Source organism: Homo sapiens, chromosome 8 (genome assembly GCF_000001405.40).
Source record: "Homo sapiens chromosome 8, GRCh38.p14 Primary Assembly".
Classification (NCBI taxonomy): Eukaryota; Metazoa; Chordata; class Mammalia; order Primates; family Hominidae; genus Homo; species Homo sapiens.
Window position 1 is genome coordinate 73,028,762 of NC_000008.11, and position 20,357 is coordinate 73,049,118.

General features: G+C 35.3%; 1 protein-coding gene across 18 annotated transcripts in view; it reads left to right on the forward strand.

Moving 5' to 3' along the window:
• The window catches only part of TERF1 (telomeric repeat binding factor 1), a 39,260-nt gene extending 19,898 nt beyond the window's left edge, over positions 1-19,362 (forward strand). For 5 of the 18 annotated variants that reach the window (NR_182140.1, NR_182141.1, NM_001413368.1 and 2 more), the window contains 3 exons: positions 3,281-3,372; positions 10,355-10,458; positions 17,200-19,362. Coding sequence is in view for 14 of the 18 variants with exons in the window: in NM_001413368.1 (NP_001400297.1) it covers positions 3,281-3,372; positions 10,355-10,458; positions 17,200-17,376 (373 nt within the window). In the remaining 4 variants the exon portion in view is untranslated. Of the gene's footprint in view, positions 1-1,574; positions 1,635-2,033; positions 2,195-3,280; positions 3,377-9,944; positions 10,035-10,354; positions 10,459-10,783; positions 10,859-17,199 lie in introns of all 18 variants that reach the window. The other 13 variants (NR_182139.1, NM_001413367.1, NM_017489.3 and 10 more) reach the window with 8 other exon arrangements.

Consider the following 20,357-nt stretch of genomic DNA (forward strand, 5'->3'; position numbering starts at 1 on the left):
TCTTGCCCAGCTCTGTAATCAGAGTTGTTACTTCTGTGCTTTCATAGCATACATCTCTATAAAAGGACTTATCTTCGTTGGTAACTTATTTGTTTACCTGATTCTTTCAATAGATTGAGAATTATTTGAAGGTTCTTACTTAGCTTTGAAGCATCTTAATTAGCTTGGTATCCTTGTTGCCTCATTCATTACCAGGCATACATTAGAACTTGCTGTACACTAGTTACAGGGAACAAAACTAAAACCAGAAACAGGGTAAAGATCAAGAATCGAGCAAATACCAAAACCATCGTGGAAGCAGAACCAGGGCAAATAAAGCATCAAACCACCAGTGTCATGACAGTTACCAGTAAGGATTCAAGTAAAGCAAGTATAGAATCAGAAGTGTGATTGTGAGGTCAGACAAATCCTAGAAAAATGGAAACCTCCATGTTATGAAGACTAGATGAAATAAATATTTTGCTCTGATAAAGCTTATACAGTTGTTCCTTGGTGTTTGAAGGGGATTAGTCCTAGGACATCCATCCTTCATGAATACCAAAATCCATGGATGCTCAAGTGTCTTACAAAAATGGTGTAATAGCCAGGAACAGTGGCTCACACCTGTAATCCCAGCACTTTGAAAGGCTGAGGCAGGAGGATCACTTGAGCCCAGGAGTTTGAGACCAGCCTAGGCAACATGGCAGAACCTTGTCTTTACAAAAATTAACCAGTCTTGGTGGTGCATGCCTGTAGTGCCAACTACTTAAGAGGCTTAGGTGAGAGGATTGTTTGAGCCCGGCAGGTCTGCAGTAAGCTGTGTTTGTGCCACTGCACTCCGGTGACCCTCGGCGAGACCCTGTCAAAAAAAAAAAGGGGGTGTAATATTTGTATACAACCTACACACATCCTCCCATATACTTTAAATCATCTCTAGATTACTTAAAATATCTAACACAGTGTTGAAATAGTTGAGATGGACAGCTTCATGGAGGTAGTAGTCTTGAACAGGGGCTTTTGTAGGATGGTTAAGATTTTTACAGATGGATAGAAGAGGAAATATCATTTTAGGAGAGAGGAATATTACTAGTGAAAGCATGGAGGTGTAAATAGTCATGCTGTGTGTATGTGGAAACCATTTTAACTATAACAAACGGGAACTTAATCGATTCCCAAAAGTTCAATTGGAGACTGGTGGGGAGAACCAGAAATTAAAATTGAACCCATCAAATTGTATACTTTAAACATGTGCCATGCTTTTTATGTATCAATTATACCTTAATAAAGCAGTTTTTAAAACTTGAATTCATGGAAATAAAGTGCCGTAGAAGAGTTTTTGAAAGAGTGTTATAAATGCTTGACTACACCATTAATTATGCTTATGTTTGGAGAAACTTGGTTTAATACCTCTTATAAGCATGTCTGGACAAGAATTAGCCATGTTGTAATGGACTGTATATGTCCCGATGTTACCAAGGTTTCTTTCCAAAGTTATTTTTTTATAAATTGAAATATGCCTTGACTATGTGGAAAGTACTATCCTTATGAAAAGTTTCTTTTGTTTACATTCTTACAAATTTTTTCTTCTTTTAAAGTGTTAGTGACAAACAGTCTGCGGTAACTGAATCCTCAGAGGGTACAGTATCCTTATTGAGGTGAAGTAAATTGACGTTTTTCTTCTTTGTCTTTCAAATCTTTGATTGAAGCAATTCATGCAGACCTAATAAAAACTACCACATAAATGGTACAATTGAAAGAATATCTCAGGGTCCTAGTTAGCCCAACAGATAGTCACGACTCTGAGACATCTTGAAATTCCAAACTGTAGAGACCTGCTCTGAGACTGGGTTGTTTCACATTGTTTCTACAAAGCCATTATTGGAATACACATATAGGGAGTTCTTGAGCTTAAAACAGATGTTTAGTAAACACTTCTCTGTCACAGAAACAAAGATATGATACTGGGGCAGGAAGGGGATGGCAATTACATTTCTAATGAATGCCCCATGCCAATTTTATGAAAGTTACTTGAAAAACTTTATTTGATCTAATAGAATCGCTGTGACAGACAATACAACCTGTCCCGAGGGCAGAAAGTCTGCATGAATGATTTCTAACATAGAGCAGTTGGGATCACAAGTGGAACCATGGGGAGGAGGTGGCTGACTTCATGTGGAGGAGGTGATTGGACATGAGGAACTGAGAGGCCAAGATGGTATATGAATTGTCTGTGAGAACACTGAAATAATTCATAATAGCAGCACTTAGGTGTAGAGAAAGATCTGTGAATGATGAAGAAGTGCTTGGAAGGATGGTAAATGGCTGTGAAGAATGATTGAAGGTGATACATCTCAGTGGCATGAATCCTCAAGGCTGAAGTTTCTATGGAAGCAGGATCTTGAAAGTGGCATTCATTAGGAAATGAAAACTGCTGTCTCTGGAGTCCTATAGTTTATGGAGGGTGGAAGATTAAGCCAATCTCTACTTGAGAAGGCTACCAAGGAGAGAAACATTGTCCCCAGGGGAAAGCTAGATTTTAGACAAGGCAAAGAGCGGAGAGGAATGGGTGAAGAGATTGAGAATGACATTCTAGAAAGGACAATAGAAAGTCTTAGGAAGGAGGGACAGAGGGGAAGAGAGAAAGGATGGCTGGTCACCTAGAGTATCTATAGGGATAAAAGTATAGCTAAAATAACCTACATTTTAGGTGGAGATAATACAGCTGCCTAAGCTTAGGTGAACTGCTTTTTGAATCTTAGTTTGCTCCTTCATAAAATTGGATTAATATAATACCAATTTGGCAGAGTTTTCAAAAAAAATGATGCCACATCCTGTGTTTCCAAACAGCCTTACCTTTCAAAACTCTTTTTGGAAGCTGTAAAGATAATCAAGTGATACCTGCCATTATGTAAAGGAATTTTGGAATCCGTCTTTGGGGAAATAAAAGCCATAAGAGAGAATGAAAGCTAATACTTTGTAGTTTAAGGATTTTTTTCCTTGATGTATCTAATTGGAAGGCCGAAAGAGTCTTGTCTTTTCTTTTTTTTGCCTGCTTCTTCTGAGACATCAAAAAACATCTTGATTTCTGCGGAGTAGATGAGATGGAGAAAGATGAGACAGGCAACAGAAATCTTAAGAGGCCACAGGTTAAGATGGGGTACTAAGCAGGGAGAGCACCAAAGGAAGTAGGCCAAAGTATTAATAGAAGATCCTAGAACAGATTAAGGCAAATCATTTACCTGTTTTCCATTGCCTTACTATCTTTCTGGAGCCAATTACAAACTTTCCTGTTTTATTTTAGGTCTCACAAGAATCTTTTCTTATCTAAGTTGCAACATGGAACCCAGCAACAAGACCTTAATAAGAAAGAAAGAAGAGTAGGAACTCCTCAAAGTGAGTACTGTTATAACAGTTTTAGAAGGGGAGAATTGATGTGTCCTCAAACAATCCAGCCATTGACTTTACCACTATAGCAAAAAAACACACACTTCAGAAAACTGAAGCACAAAGTCTTGACTTCATAGAGTTAATTGAGATAGTGTTTAATTTAGAAAGTTAGCTATTTTGACTGTCTAGCTTAGGGTTCTTTTGCTATGGTGGTACACTGCTTTTCTACCTTCACTGTGTTCAGCAACTTCAAGTATAGTCATATGCCACATCATGACATTTCAGTCAAAGACAGACTGCATTGCATATAGGATGGTGGTCCTGTAATAATGTAATGGAGCACATATGGAAACTTGATAATGTGGCACTTGATATTGGCATTGCATATCAAGTAGGGGAAATGATTGATAATTAGCAATGGTACTGGGAACCGTGGGTTTTCTATATGAATATATATATATATATGTATGTTTGTGTAAGTGTACTCTTAATAATGTTCACATAAGGACAAAATCACCCAACGCCCCATTTCTCAGAACATATCCCCCTTGTAAAGCAATCCGTGACTGTAGTTACTTTTCAGAAACATTAAGTACAGTTGATTCTTGTTATTCACAGTAGTTACGTTTAATAAAGTCTGAGAGCGTTGACTTAGCAAATTACAAGTTTCTTTTTGGTATGTAGTCATTTAACAAATGTTTATTGACCCCACAGTAATATTTTAGGTACTGAACTGATACTGAGATTTTTTTTTTTTATACTTTAAGTTTTAGGGTACATGTTCACAACGTGCAGGTTTGTTACATATGTATACATGTGCCATGTTGGTGTGCTGCACCCATTAACTCGTCATTTAGCATTAGGTATATCTCCTAATGCTATCCCTCCCCCCTCCCCCCTGAGATTTTTAATATGGATCTAAACCTAAATACTTATTGATAAAAATAATAGACATAATGAAATTAGGTTTATTTCTCCATGCTCATAAGGTACCATCTTGGTGCCAGGCAAATGATAGGCCTGCAGTAAATATTATAGAATAAATTTGTTCATACCTGATGGCTGATGACATGGCAACCATTAGCAAATATTTGTAAATAGAGTTCTAAAATATTTACATTCATAGATATCATTCCCATTTTTAAAGATGAGAAAACGGAAACTCAGTAAAGTTATGTGCTTAATGTTGGTGGAGTTCCAAGATTGGTTTTCTATACCTATTGCTGCAAGACGGCTGGGAATCATTTTAAATGAGAATAATGTGAGCATTTTCCTAGGGTTTTAATTTCATAGTATGAAATTCAAAGAAAAGGAAATGTAGGCCAGGCGCAGTGGCTCACGCCTATAGTCCTAGCACTTTGGGACGCTGAGGCAGGTGGATTGCCTGAAGAGCTCAGGAGTTTGAGACCAGCCTTGGCAACATGGCGAAACCCCGTTTCTACTAAAAATAGAAAAAATTAGCCAGGCATGGTGGTGCCTGCCTGTAATGCCAGCTACTCAGGAGGCTGAGGCACGAGAATCCAGCTTGAACCTAGGAGGTGGAGGTTGCACTCCAGCCTGTGTGACAGAGCGAGACTGTCTCAAAAAAGAGAAAACATGGTTTATCAGCAAACTCGAAGACTATAAACTCTTTGCAAACTGGCTTGACAGTGACTGTGGCTATTGAGTCTATAAGGTCTTTGAGTTTTAGCACATTTTATTAGGTGTCAGTAATAAGTACGTTTTCTTAAAAAAATTCAGTGTACTTCAGTGGTACCCAGGTACCCCCTCTTTATAGTTTGAGGCTAATAATTTTGTTTGTGCTAAACCTTTTTTTCTCTTCTTTTTCTGTTTTTGGAGACAGAGTCTTACTTTGTTGCCCAGGCTGGAATGCAGTGCAGTGGTGAGATCTTGGCTCACTGTAGCATCTACCTTCCCAGGCTCAGTTGATCCTCCCACCTCAGCCTTCCAAGTAGCTGGGACCACAGGCACATGCCGCCACACCCTGCTATTTTTTTGTTTGTTTGTTTGTTTGTTTGTTTTGAGATGGGGTCTTGCACTGTCACCCTGGCTGGAGTGTGGTGGATCAATCTCGGCTCACTGCAACCTCCATTTCCAGGTTTCAAGCAATTCTCCTGCCTCAGCCTCCTGAGTAGCTGGGATTACAGGAGTGTGCCACCACACCCGGCAGATTTTTGTATTTTTAGTAGAGACGGGGTTTCGCCATGTTGGCCAGGCTGGTCTGGAACTCCTAACCTCAGGCAATCCGCCCACCTCGGCCTCCCCAAAGTGCTGGGATTACAGGCGTGAGCCACCACACCCGGCCTTTTTGTGTTTTTTGTAGAGGTGGGGTTTGGCATGTTGCCCCTGCAGGTCTCTAACTCCCAAACTCAAGCAATCTGCTTGCTGTAATTGTGCTGAGATTACAGGCATGAGCCACTGCTCCCAGCCCTAACCTTTTTTTCAAAAACTAATTTTTGTGTTGTAAAATTGACATATGCTTAGGGAAAAAAAATCAAGTTAATTCAGAAAACTTGAAAGAAAAAGCCAAATCATCCAGATTTCATCAGTGCAGAAAAACTCACCAGCATTGAGTGAAATTATTAATATTTGAGTTGAAAGCTTTTTATAGGTAAATGCATTCAATCCTCAAAACAACCTTATGAGATTAGTGCTTTTTTTTTTTATCATCTCCATTATACAGATGAGGAAGCTGAGACTTAAAAAGGTAAATAAAATGCCTTTGGTTACACAGTGTATGAATAGAACAGGAGCCAAAATTTGAAATCAGACAGTCTGACTCCAGAGCCCAGGCTTTTAATTGCTTAGATGGACTACCTCAGTAGAAGAATGTATAGATTGAAAGCAAATCAAATTTTAGAAAAATGTCATCAAGTTACATATGTTACTTTAAAATATATTTACATTTAATTTTTAATATGTAAAACTGAAGGATTCAGTACTTCAGATAAAGGTGGTTTCACAAGAAATCTATCAGTAACCTTTATGATCTGTGTAAAATAAAGAATATGAAATGCTTTAAGAGGTCATTCAACTTTAGTTAATCAACTTTAGTCTGTTGATTGACCTTAGCAAAAATTTCTTCCACCAATCCCCAAATTTTCTTGGTTATATTTTATATAATCAATAGTTGTAGCATTGTTTTCCCATGTTGGATTTTCAGTTCAAAATACTTTTTCATTTTTGTAGAGACTTTTTTACTGACCTATGAGGGAAGTTGTTTAATTTCCAAATATCTTTCTGTTACTGATTTTTAGTTTAATTCTATTTCAGTCTGTGAATATGCTTCGTAGATTTTTTTTTTTTTAAGATTTGTTTTATGGCCCACAGTATGGTTTATTTTGGTCCATTTGGATGTGCACAGAGAAGAACGTGAATTCTGGCATTGTTGAATGAAGTGTTTTAAAATGTCAATTAGGTCAAGTTTTTAATAATGCTGTTCAGGTATTCTATATATGTACTCATTTCCTGTCTATTGTTGTATCAATTAGAAAAGTGATAAATCTCCCAAATATAATTATGAATTTGTCTTTACATTTATGTGATTATTTGCTTTTTGCTATTTTAGTCCCCTAGCACCTGTTTAAACATTTCTCCTAATGCTAAAATCTCTCCATCAGAGCTAGTGTGGTTTCCATTTTCCTGACTGGAACACACCCAGTATATATGTCAAAATCCCATATATGTCAACATCCCATGTTTGTAGTAGGGTAATCTTATTGTTTTTCAAGAGTATCTTGACTATTCTGGTGTTTTGGTGTTCCATATTGTCAGGGAAAAAACCTAGCCATAGGGCTTTATAAGCAGTAAACCTGCTGCTACTTTATAGATACAAAAGGTAGACAACAAGACTTAGTGACTTAATGAGTTAGAGTAAGACAGATTATTATAGCAAACAACATGGCATTGATGTAGTTGTTCAGATTTCCCTACCCCAAGTCCGGTGGACTATGCAACAGGCCTAAATGGATGCTGCGAAGGCAGTAAGTTATATTTCAGCTGAGGAAAACTCAGAGCCAAGGGCCCAGTGCTTTTTGAGTAAGCAACAAAACATTGTAACAAATAGCAAACAAGCCAGTACCCTCTCCCAGGAGAGAGCAGTTGGCCTGGTCATCATGTTGTGGTTTCCTTGACCTGCTTAATTGCCTATCTGACTGGCTATAGAAAATGCACTATTTCAGGAGATGAATAAGGCTTTTCTACATTCAACAGGAATTGCAGGGGTGCTCAGAGCCAATAGTGGACTACCTGTCTTAACACATAATTTTAGAATAATTTTGTTAAACTATACGAAGAACCCTGTTGAGATTTTTATGTGAAATTGCATTGTTAACAATAGATGATTTTGCAGAGAACTGACACCATTACATTAAGTTTCCTGTGCATGAACAAAATACATTTCTCTAACATGTTTTTATATATACAGTCATCCCTTGGTTTTCACAGGGTATTGGTTCCAGGACCCATCCCCCCGCCCCCACAGCAGGGATACCAGAATTCTCAAATGCTCAAGTCCCTTACATAAAATGGCATAGTCTTTGCATATAGACCTGTGCACCCGCCTACCACATGCTTTAACTCATCCCCAAATTACTTACAGTAACTAAAACAATGTAAATGATAAATAACTAAATTGTAGTAAATAATTGTTAGACTATATTTTTTATTTGTATCACTTTTATTATTGTAGTTATATATAAATATATATAATATATATTTATATATAATATATTATATATATATGACCTATGAGGGAAGTTGTTTAATTTCCAAATATCTTTCTGTTACTGATTTTTAGTTTAATTCTATTTCAGTCTGTGAATATGCTTCATAGATTTTTTTTTAAAGATTTGTTTAATGGCCCACAGTATGGTTTATATGTAATATAATATATAATATATATAATATATAATGTACATAATATATAATTATAATATATATAATAATTATACTACATATAATATATATCATATATTATATAAAACCCCATATATACTATATAATTAATAATTTATATATTATAATATATAATAATTTATATTATAATATATAATATAATAATATATATTATATAATATAATTTATATATAATTATAATATAATAATTTATATATAATTATAAAGCTTTACTATGTATATAAAACATGTTATGAGAAGCTTTATCTATCTTATCTACCTATCTACTTACCTACCTACCTACCTAACTGTTGGCCCTCTATATTCACAGATTCCACATCTGTGGATTCAACCAACCTTGGAATAAAATATTTGGGGGGAAAATACATATAAATTTTTATATATAATATATAATATATATTATATATGTTATATTAACATATAAAATATATTAAATATATTTATATATAATAAATTTATATATTTGGAATAAAATATATAAACCTTGGAACCTTGGAATAAAATATTCGGGGGGGAAAATATATATATTTTTTATATATAATATATATAACATATCATAAATTTATTATATATATTATATATTATATATAACATATATAATATATATTATATGTATAATAATATTATATTATATATAATATATATTATATAGTATAATATTATATTATATATAATATATATTATATAGTATGAAATATATATTATATATAATATTATATAGTATAATATATATATTATATATAATATATAGTATAATAATATATATATTATATATAATATATAGTATAATAATATATATAATATATAATATATAAATATGATATATAATATATATAAATATGATATATAATATATATAAATATGATATAATATATAATATATATAAATATTATATATATATAAAACATATATATATTTTTCCCCCCGAATATTTTATTCCAAGGTTGGTTGAATCCACAGATGTGGAACCTGCGAATATAGAAGGCCAGCAGTAGGTAGGTAGGTAGGTAAGTAGATAGGTAGATAGATAGATAAAGCTTCTCATAACATGTTTTATATACATAGTAAAGCTTTATAATTTACTACATACAAATGTATCACTTTTGATAAAGTTATCTAAGAGGCCATGACCTGATGGCTCATACCTGTAATTCCAGCACTTTGGGAGGCCAAGGCAGGAGGATTACTTGAGCCCAGGAATTAAGAGACCAGCCTGTGCAATATAGTGAAACCATGTCTTTACAAAAAAATTTTAAAAAATTAGTCGGGCATGGCGGCCGGTGCCTCTAGTACCAGCTACTCAGGAGGCTGAGGTGAGGGAGGATAAGGCAGAAGTATCACTTGAGCCCAGGAGTTTGAGCTGTGATCATACCACTGCACTTCAGCCTAGGCAAAAGAGAGAGACCCTATCTCTTAAAAAAAAAAAGTTACCTCTAAGAATGTTAGATTTTTTTGTGGCTATTGTAAATAGTATCTTTATATTGTTTTAATTAAATTATTTTAACTGTTTGTTGCTAATGAATAGAAATCCTATTGCTAATGAATGAAATCCTTTTTGTGTATTGATCTTACTGATCTTTTAATTCTATTTGTAGATTCTCTTAGGTTTTCTGCCTAAACAATTATCATTTTTCAGTAATTACAGTTCTGTTTCTTTTCAGTTACATATATTTGTCTTACCAAACTGACTATGAATAAGAAAGAAGGAGTGAGGAAAGGATTATGCTTCTTAGTACTCCTAAAACATTATCGTAAGAAAATTTCAACGATCCTATGCAATAAATATTTTTCCTTTTTTTTTAAACAGATAATGGAAAGACAGGTTCAGGGATGTGAAATGATTTATTTAAAGACATATAAAAGAATCAAGACTCAAAACACTCCCCCTCTGATTTCAAAGGCTGATCTTTGCACTATACCATACTGCTTCCAGATTTGAAGGAAAAAGTTAAACATGTACTTTTTCTTAGAATAGCTTAGAAAAGGAATTTCATTATAATCATTAAAAATATAATTGCTCTTTTTTCTTTAATGTAAATCAATATTTATGACATTATTTTTCTACTTTTAGGTACAAAAAAGAAAAAAGAAAGCAGAAGAGCCACTGAAAGCAGAATACCTGTTTCAAAGAGTCAGCCGGTAACTCCTGAAAAACATCGAGCTAGAAAAAGACAGGTATTTGGTTTTTTAAAATTCGAATAACGCTTATGGACATTAAAGTTATAACTTGAATAATTGTGATTATTTCTGTTCAACCTCCCCAAAATTTTGAGTGTAAAATATTTGCCCTTTGCCATCTTTTATTTTGCCGTCTTAGATAGGTGACTAATCAGCCTATTCAAAATGAAATACTTCACCCATATTTAAAAAGTCTTAAGTTGGGTGTTGGTACTGACATCTGTTTGGAATTATTGTGATACTATCATAAAATCTGTTTATTAGATGTAAGGTGGGACTTAACTCCACATTATAAGCTTTGATGTTTAAATTTTCCTAACAGGGATCCAGTGTAAAAAGAGTTTTCTTTACTTAAAAACAAAGAAAAGATACCATTTGATCACAAAATTTTATTAAGGTGGGTCAATTTAGGGCTTGATTCATTTGCTTCCCCTTTCAGTGACTATAGTCTTGTGCCATCTGTCCAGTGTCTGAAACCATTATTTTATGTATTTTTTGATTGTCTAGTTGTTCACAGCAGATGGATAAATCTGGTCTTTGTTTTTGTGGTGTGTGTGTGTGTGTGTGTGTGTGTGTGTGTGTGTGTGTGTGTGTTTCCCCCTTTTTTTTGTAGAGATGGTGTCTCACAATGTTGCCCAGGCTGGTCTTGAATTACTTGGCTCGAGTGATCCTCCCACCTTGGGCTCCAAAAGTGCTGGGACTGTAGGCATGAGCTACTGCACCCAGTCAGGCCCTTGTTTTCTTTTGTGGCTGGAACCGTTTTCTTACTCGAAGGTGCCTTTTTTTTTTTTTTTTTGACAAGCTAATTGCAAATAGTTCATACTGAGGTGCTGCAGATAGTGTCAAGTTGCACGCTACTCGGAATATCTTCTGTGACTCAAAGTTATGTTACCCTTCATTTCTCCCCCAGTGAACATAGCAAGCAACTTCTACTTTTCATTTGCTTCCTACACATATTACTTGCCTTTGTGATTCCCTTTTTTAGCCTTGCCATCTCTGGCCTTTAGTAGGTTGAGGGGAGCTCCTGCTGTTGCTGACCAGAGATTTAGGGGGTGTACCTCAGGGTATTTTCATTAGAAAAACAGATGGCACACACTTCCTGAGATCTGTAGACAGAGTTGCTTTTTCATACACCTAAGTTGCACTGATTATTTATACCCTTTCTACCTACATTATGGTTCAGGTTGTAAATTTCTCTTAACTTTTTTCAGAGTTTGGGATTTTATTTCTTGTTGCTTTTGGGTGAATTCCCAAAGGAGAAGAGGGAAATGCTAACCTTATGCTACCATATGTGACCACAGTCATGCATATGTTTTGTGCTGGATTTTTTTTGCAGTTTGAATATGATGTACATGTATATAGTTTGTTATTTATCCTGCTTGGTATTTTCTGAGCTTCCTGAATCTGTAGTTTGGTGTCTGTCTTTAGTTTTGGAAAATGCTCAGCCATTATTACTTCAAATCTTTCTTTTGTTCCTTTCCTTCTTCTTCTGGTGTTCCCATTATGATTCCAAATGTTACACCTTTTAAGATTGTCCCACTGTTCTTAGTTATTCCTTTATCTTTTTCATTCTTTTTTCTGTTTACTTTTCAGTTTGAGAACTTTCTATTAATATATCTTCAAATGTACTGATTCTTTCTTCAGCTGTGTTTAATCTGCTTATGAGCCCATCAGAGGCATTGTTCATTTCTGTTACCATGTTGATTTCTGGCATTTCCCTTTGGTTCTTTCTTAGAGTTTTCATCTCTCCATTTACATTTACCCATCTGTTCTTGCATGTTGTCCACTTTTTCCATTAAATCCTTTGACATATTGATCATAATCATTTTAAATTCCAAGTCTGACAATTTCAAAATCTGTGCCATATCTTGAGTGTGGTCCTGGTGCTTGCTTTGTCTCTTCAGACTGTGTTTTTTGCTTTTTAGCATGTTTATAATATTTTGCTGATAGCTAGACATGATATATCAGGTAAAAGGAAATGAGATAAATGATCCTTTAATGTGAGGTTTTATGTTTATCTGTCTAGGAGTTACCGTTTGTAGCTGTAGGTGTCAAAGGCTAAAATTTCCTTTAGTGTCCTGTTTTTGTCTCTCTTGTTGTCTCTGGGTTTCCCTAGAGACTGCTTTTTAATAAGAATCTGAGGGACCTCTTTCAACTATAACGCCCAGGATCCTGACTAATGTAGTGGTAAGGTAAGGGGAGGTGAAGCGTTCTGGAGTCCTGTGCATAGTTCTCCTTCTTTTAGTAAGCCTGTGTCCTAGGCTGTGACCTTCATAAGTGCTTCTCAGCCCACCACCCCTTGGGTGAGACATGAAGGCTAGAGAGGGGTGGAGTTGAGTATTTCCACAGGTAAGTTAGGTTCTGGTAAAACCTCAGTTGGTTAGGTTCTGGCAAAATTAGTTTCTCTTGAGGAAAGGATTTTGTTAAGAAGACCAGAACGCTTTCCTCATTTATTTTGAAATGGGGAGTATTTCTAATTGGGGAGTATTTCAAAATGGCTACTTTTTCCCTCCGCCTGTCAGAAGCAGGAAGGAATTTTTGTGTAATCTTTACCCTGAGACCTGGGGGGGCTCCTGGAGATAAAACTCACAAAAGTTTGTGAGTCCCTCTGAAACTGGGCCCTTGGAGTTTTTAACTCTGAAGCTTATCCACACGGATCCTCCATCAGTTCCTCAGTCACAGTTAATTGCTCCTACCAGTATTGGCTCCAGCTGTGAGCTTCTGCTCCTGGCCTTTCTGTCCCCAGTAATTCTTGTGATTTTCTCAATCTGCCTCTCTCTCTCTTTAGTTTTCAGGACAGCAGTTTGCCCTGTGACATTTGTTCTTTGATGTATCTAAGAAGAGTTACTGAGTTTCAGTTTGTTCAACAGCTTTTTTCTTCTGGGGACTGTAGTGATGATTTCCAAGCTCTTCACATGTTAGATTGGAAACCAGAAGTCTCTGTCTTATACATATAACTGATCTTTCCCTATAGTTCTTCCAGCAGCCATTCCAAATGAGGTGTTATTTACAGATATATATGAGGAAAACAGTTGTTTCTCTTCTATTCAAAACGAAATATAGGATATCGACCACATAATCAGTGATAATATCTATCACCATTTCCTATGCCAAAAAAGAATTCTGTGGATATCACAAGGGCCTGGTTTTATTTTTTAGCTTTCCGTTGTTGGCCTTTTGTTAAAATACTTGTTTTAGAAGATAAGTGACAGACTTAATTTTATTTTGTATTGAGGTTTTTAAAAAAAAAAACTTACGGCAATAGCCCATGTCTACTTGGACAGTTTTCTTTTGCTGCATTGGTCTGTTAAAGATATTTCTTCCTTCCTCATCAGAATTAAAGAGCCCTCCTTTTATAAACTTATTCCATTAAAGAAGAAAAGTAAATGCCTTTCAAACTGTTTTCCATAAACAGTATGTAATGAGAAATACTGTAGCAGTATTTTCTTTTACTATTCGTAGTATCATTTTAAGGCATTAAAAAGCATTATTTGTTCTTTAGAATGGATATACAGTGCAGATCTGAGTTATGTAATCTCTAGCCTTGGGAAAGAAAAAGATTGGTGTGTTTTAATTTGTTATGTGCTCTTTGTATCTTTTCAGGCTATTGGCATGGCTGGGGTTGTTAAGATTTTGTATTTGATTTTTTGAGAAAATAAAAGACAAATGACAATAAAACAAAGGAAATGGGTTGTATGGGTTTAATGTCCAGAAATACATCATCTTAAACTCTTCCCTTAATTATTACTATCAGTGGAATCTGGTACAATCAGTTAAATGTATAAAATGAGGAAATGGAAAGTTTTAAGCACAATAGTAGACTTTATGAAATTGTACTGCCCTTATGTTTTCTTTCTGATCTGACACAGGTCAGTTGTGTCACTCATTAAACTCTAGCTATAGAAAGTAGAAGTTGGTACCAATGACTACTAGGCCACTTGAACCTCTAAACTTAAAAATTACAGCTTTCCTTACTTGCCAGACGATAGCTTATTCTGTATGATGTTTTCAAAACTCTTTCAGTCACAGGTAAAATTAAGCAAAGACTGAAAACATTCAGATCAAGCAAAACAATCAAGGCATAATCAACCATGAAATAACACTATATCAAGCTAAAGTTACTCTTTTTCAATAGAAGAAAAAAATAAAATACTTAATGCTAAACACTGTTAGTTTTCAGTTAATCTATACTGACAACATTACTACTTTCCTCTAGGTTAGGGGTGAGCAAAATTTTTCTATAAAGAGCAAGATTTATAATATATTTATTACTAATGTATTTTATGTATATTTCACATACATAGTTTCTGTTACATATTTTAAATATATTTTTTAAATGACTTAAATTTTAATATGGTTCTTAGCTCCGGGGCTGTAGAAAACCAGCCTTGGGCTGGGTTTTGGCAGTGGCTTGCTGTCCCCTGCTATAGATGATACATGGGAAAATACTGCTTAAACATACTGCACCCAGGACCCCAAATAGGATTCAGAAAACATTGGTCATTTCTTGAAAGAAAGGGGCTTTTGTATTGTATCAAACGTCATCTGTGCACCTTATTAAAAATACTACAGCTCAGATAAGAACAAGAAAACAATGCTGTATATGTGTATGAAATTTGTCTAAACCACAAACTACTTTTTAAAGCTGAATAACGTATATGGCAAGTTTTTGAAAGAACAGAAATGCTTAACTTGGAGACCATGGAGTTGATAGGCTCTTTAAAGAGAGTTTATGTGGCCCCCAAATTTGTATATGAAATTTTAGATACTATACTTTTCTGTGGAGTACGTCTGTAAGATTTATATGACCCCAAAGATTAATAACCCACTGTTGAAGTGCTTTTAATCAGTCACCCCACACATGAAAAATTTATTAATGCATCTCTTGGTTTTTGTCAGTTAATGACAAGCAGTGTAGTGAGGTTTTGTAGGAGTGAAGGCCGAGTCAGGCAGTAATAGATGGTCATAGGAGGCTGTCAGCCTTTGTCTAGCGATTGAATAGCCATGTACTTGTAAGCAGCACAGTTGCCGATAGGTGTGCTGCAGACAAACAAAAGCAAAAGCACGTACAGAAGAGACCAGGTTCGTATCTTGGATTTAAGTCACAAAGCAGAGGAATAGCAAGAACAGGGGATCAGGTTTAAGGTAGCTCAAACAAACTTCTGCATGGGTTTGGTTACGGTCACTGCCAACTTTTTGGTACTGAGTCATACACGAGATGGTTCTCATGTCATGTTTGTATTCTTCAGGCCACCTTGAATTCTTTCTAATATTGCATTAGACAATTGAACTGGATTTTTTTTTCTTCGATTATAGTAAAGTACACATGATATAAAATTTACCATTTGCCATTTTAACTATTTTTAAGTGTACAGTTTGGTAGCATTAAATATATTCATATTGTGCTACCATCACTACCATCTATCAATAGCACTCTTCCTCTTACAAAACTGAAACCGTACTCCTTAAACAGTAAGTCCATTTCCATCCTCCCAGCCCCCTTGCCACCATCATTCTACTTTCTGTTTATGAGTTGGACTATTCTAGGCACCTCATATCAGAAGTAGCATAGTATTTTTCTTTTTCTGTCTAACCTAATGTCCTCAAGGTTTATCCATGTTCTAGAATGCGTCAGAACTTCCTTTTTAAGGCTGAATTATATAAGTATAATATATAATATAATTTTGTTTATCCATTTATCAGTTGATGGACAGTTGGGTTGCATCCACATTTTAACTATTGTGAATAATGCTGCTATGAACATGGATGTACAAATACCTCTTCAGGTCCCTGCTCTCGACTCTTTTAGATATGTACCCAGAAGTGGAATTGCTGGATCATATGGTAGTCCTTTTAAAAAATTTTTTGGGTAACTGTCATACTGTTTTCCATAGTGGTGCTATAATTTTACATTCCCACCACTAGTGCACACAGGTTCCAATTTATCCATATCCTCACCAACACTTATTTTGTGTTTTTTTGATAGCAGCCATCTGAATGAGTGTGGGTTGATGAACCGGGTTTTTAAAGAAAATCTGAAGTGCTGGAGAATTTCTTGTAGTCTAGACACAGTAAATAACCACGCAGATGGTCAAATTGCTCTTTCAGCATGCCAACAGAAGGAATAATTAGTTAGTTGCCTGTAGCAAATGCCAAGTATCAGTAATTTTTCTGTGTATAGTATTAAATTTGATTTTTAAAAATGTTTAGGAATTTTCTCCCAGCATAAAATTAAATGTTTTTAATTAGTTTATGTTAGTTGTATTTTTGAAAGTCTATTTTAGACAAGATTTGAGTTTTATATGGGTGTGTAATACTTCCCCTACCATAGGCAGAACAGGTTTTTCACTGAGTTCATTAGTGAACTACTAAACATTCACAAAGCCTATTTGGAGATTTGGAGGATAATAAATACAACTATTAACAATTGTAGAAGAGCATTTTAAGAGACAGTGTGGGCTTAAAGTCAGACAAATTCAGTTGACATGTAGCACTGCCACTTTCTAGCTATCTGATCTTGGGCAGCTGAGCTTACATAAAATGAACAGTAATAATAATGACCCCTAAAAATGTTACGATAAATGTAAAATCTTTTAAAAATCTAAGAAATGTTTAGAGAAGTCTTCCGTCTTTAAGAAACTAAGCATTATTTTGATTTTTTAAAACTGGCATTTATAGTAGGTATTTTCTTTTTGAATAATTGTTTCTGTAAATAACTGTTTTACTTTTTATCAAAAGGCATGGCTTTGGGAAGAAGACAAGAATTTGAGATCTGGCGTGAGGAAATATGGAGAGGGAAACTGGTCTAAAATACTGTTGCATTATAAATTCAACAACCGGACAAGTGTCATGTTAAAAGACAGATGGAGGACCATGAAGAAACTAAAACTGATTTCCTCAGACAGCGAAGACTGATTGTGTTTGTAAAAGCTTGATGAAAGGACAGTTAAGTATTTTGATCACTGCATTTTGTTTGAAACTTGTGTCATTGATGTAATTTAAAACTTTTGTTTAAAGCATTACAGTATTTTTCTGTGACCATCAATTAATGAGGGTTTGTGCTACCAGAGTTAAAGCATATGCTATCATTGTATTCTTTAAGAACCTTATTTTGATAAAATGTAAATTTGTTGAACCCTGCCACATTTAGTATCCCCACCCCCAAATCCTGTTCCAATGAAAAAATTAAAACCTGATACGAAAAAAAAAAAATTCCAGTTAACCTATTTTGTGTCTGTAGGCTGACCTCAACCCTGTAACGTAACCCATTAAAATGAATTTCTTTTTTTTTAAGACAGAGTTTCTCTCTGTTGCCCAGGCTGGAGTGCAGTGGCGCAATTTCAGCTCACTGCAACCTCTGCCTCCCAGGTTCAAGTGATTCTCCTGCCTCAGCCTCCTGAGTAGCTGGGATTACAGGCACACACCACCACGCCCAGCTAATTTTTGTATTTTTAGTAGAGGCGGGGTTTCACCATGCTGGTCAGGATGTTCTCCAACTCCTGACTTCATGATCCACCCACCTCGGCCTCCCAAAGTGCTGAGATTACAGACGTGAGCCACTGCGTCCTGCCTAAAATGAATTTTCTAGATGATTGAATAACAGTAGTCCTTTGATAGAAGATAATGACTTGGTTTATGGCCTTAATATACTACTTAATTACTTAAGATGTTTATTAATAGAATGATAAATGTACAGAGTAACCTATAAGCATGACATACTTTTGCTTTCAGTAGTTTCATGTAAAGAAAAAAACTTGAAAATAGTAATACCTGAGTACCCATGGGAATAATAGACACTGGGGAGGTAGGGTGGGGAGCGGGAGCAAGAGCTGAAAAACTTACCTACTGGGGACTGTGCTCACTACCTGGGTGACAGGATCATACGTACCCCAAACCTCAACATCACACAGTATACTCAGCTAACAAACCTGCCCATGTGTTTCCTGAATCTAAAATAAAAATCGAAATAATTTTTTTAAAAAAGAAAAAGACAATAGTATTACCCATGGGACAAAATTTGTACTATTAGCAAGAATCATTTTGTGTCTCATTTAGAAACAATTTGACTTTTGTTCCAGTGTTTAAACTTTGACAAAAATGGTTTTGAATAGATCTTTATAACCTGATGCCATAAATACAAGATTCTCTGATACCTTCATTTAATATATCAATATTGGGCCTAAAACAGTATTCTGTAAAGCTTAAATTGGTATTAACTATGATCATCTTGATGTCTATGATAGATAATAAACAAGGTCATACATACCTTACTAAACAATTTTGGTTTTTCACCAACATTTTATTCTTTAAAAGATTTAGACTAACAGAATTATTTAGCATTTCGAGTCATGTGCTTTATTTAGCAAGTGAGTAAAAATATTGGAATATTGAAGTATTTGCATAAAAAATCAAATGGTGGTGTTTTGTAATCTCTATTGTATTTCCTATTAAGGTTTCATATATTACTTTCCCATTGTTCCTGAATTTGTTATCCTATATATAAACAGAAACATGGATGAGTACCATATACTTCCTGACTCCTTTATCTTGTTACACCACAAGATACTGCACTATTTATTGGAGATATTTTGATGATTAGTGCCAAGGCTGGCATCATGAGCCAAAATAGACTTGTTAAGTCAACCTCATTCCAAACACCTGCTATAGATCATCAAATCTAAGTTGCCATTAATTGTAAGATGTCCTGTTATTTCACACACACAACTAGAAAAGAAAAATCGGTATCAATTATAGTATGGTGCTTTCTTATTTTGAATTTTACTTATTAGAAGAGCTATTTTAGATGTATTTAAACATAAGATTTTTATCACATAACTTGTGGATACAAAAAAAGAGAAATTGTAAGCAAAATAAGTTGGGTAATATATTCCTAAAACCTCATCTTCTCCAGTCTGAGTATTTTTTTGAATCCTTTTTTTTGGTTTTGTTTTGTTTTGAGACAGGGTCTCACTTCATTGCCCAGCCTGGAGTGCAGTGGCACAATCACAGCTCACTGCAGCCTCTACTTCCTGGGCTCAGGTGATTGTCCTACCTTGGCCTCACAAGTAGCTGGGACTACAGGCATGTGCTGCCACTCCCAGCTAATTTTTGTATTTCTTTGTAGAAATAGGGCTTCTCCATGTTTCCCAGGTTGGTCACAAACTCCTGGGCTCAAGAGATCCATCCACCTCAACCTCCCAAGGTGTTGGGATCACAGGCATGAGCCACTGAGCCCTGGCCCCTGAATTCTTTTTAGTCAGAATTTCTGTTGAGGTAATGTAAATTCACATGCAATTGTAAGACATAATATAGAGATCTCTGTACACTTGGCCCTGTTTCCCCAAATATTAATATTTTGTAAAACTATAGTGTATCACCACCAGGATATTGATATTGATACAATCCATTCAACTTATTTCCCCAGTTTAGTATTCTGTGTATTTAGATCTAAACAGTATTATCACTTGTGTTCATACATCCACCACCATGAGGATCCCTCACATTGCTCTTTTGTAAGCACACATACCTCTCTTTCCCCAAATCCTGACAGCCACTAACATATCCTCTATTTATAAAAGTTAATCATTTTAAAATCTTATATAGTGACATCACCAAAAATAGCAAAATGGGGAGCTCCAAAGATCTGTCCCTCCACTGAAGCAACCATTGCTAGCAAAAACTTAAGATCAACTTTTTGGATCTCTACTAATAAAAACAACAACCAGAGGAATGCTTAATGAAAAGGCTATTTAGCTTTGGTAAAAGAGTTTTTGTGGTTTTGCTTACGTGCCTACCATGCCCTGTCTCCCAGCCAGGCAACAGCTGAGAGGACAGTGGCCTGTGCTCCTAGTGCATCTTGATACCAGAACGGGCAATACAGATCTTGCTCTCACAGA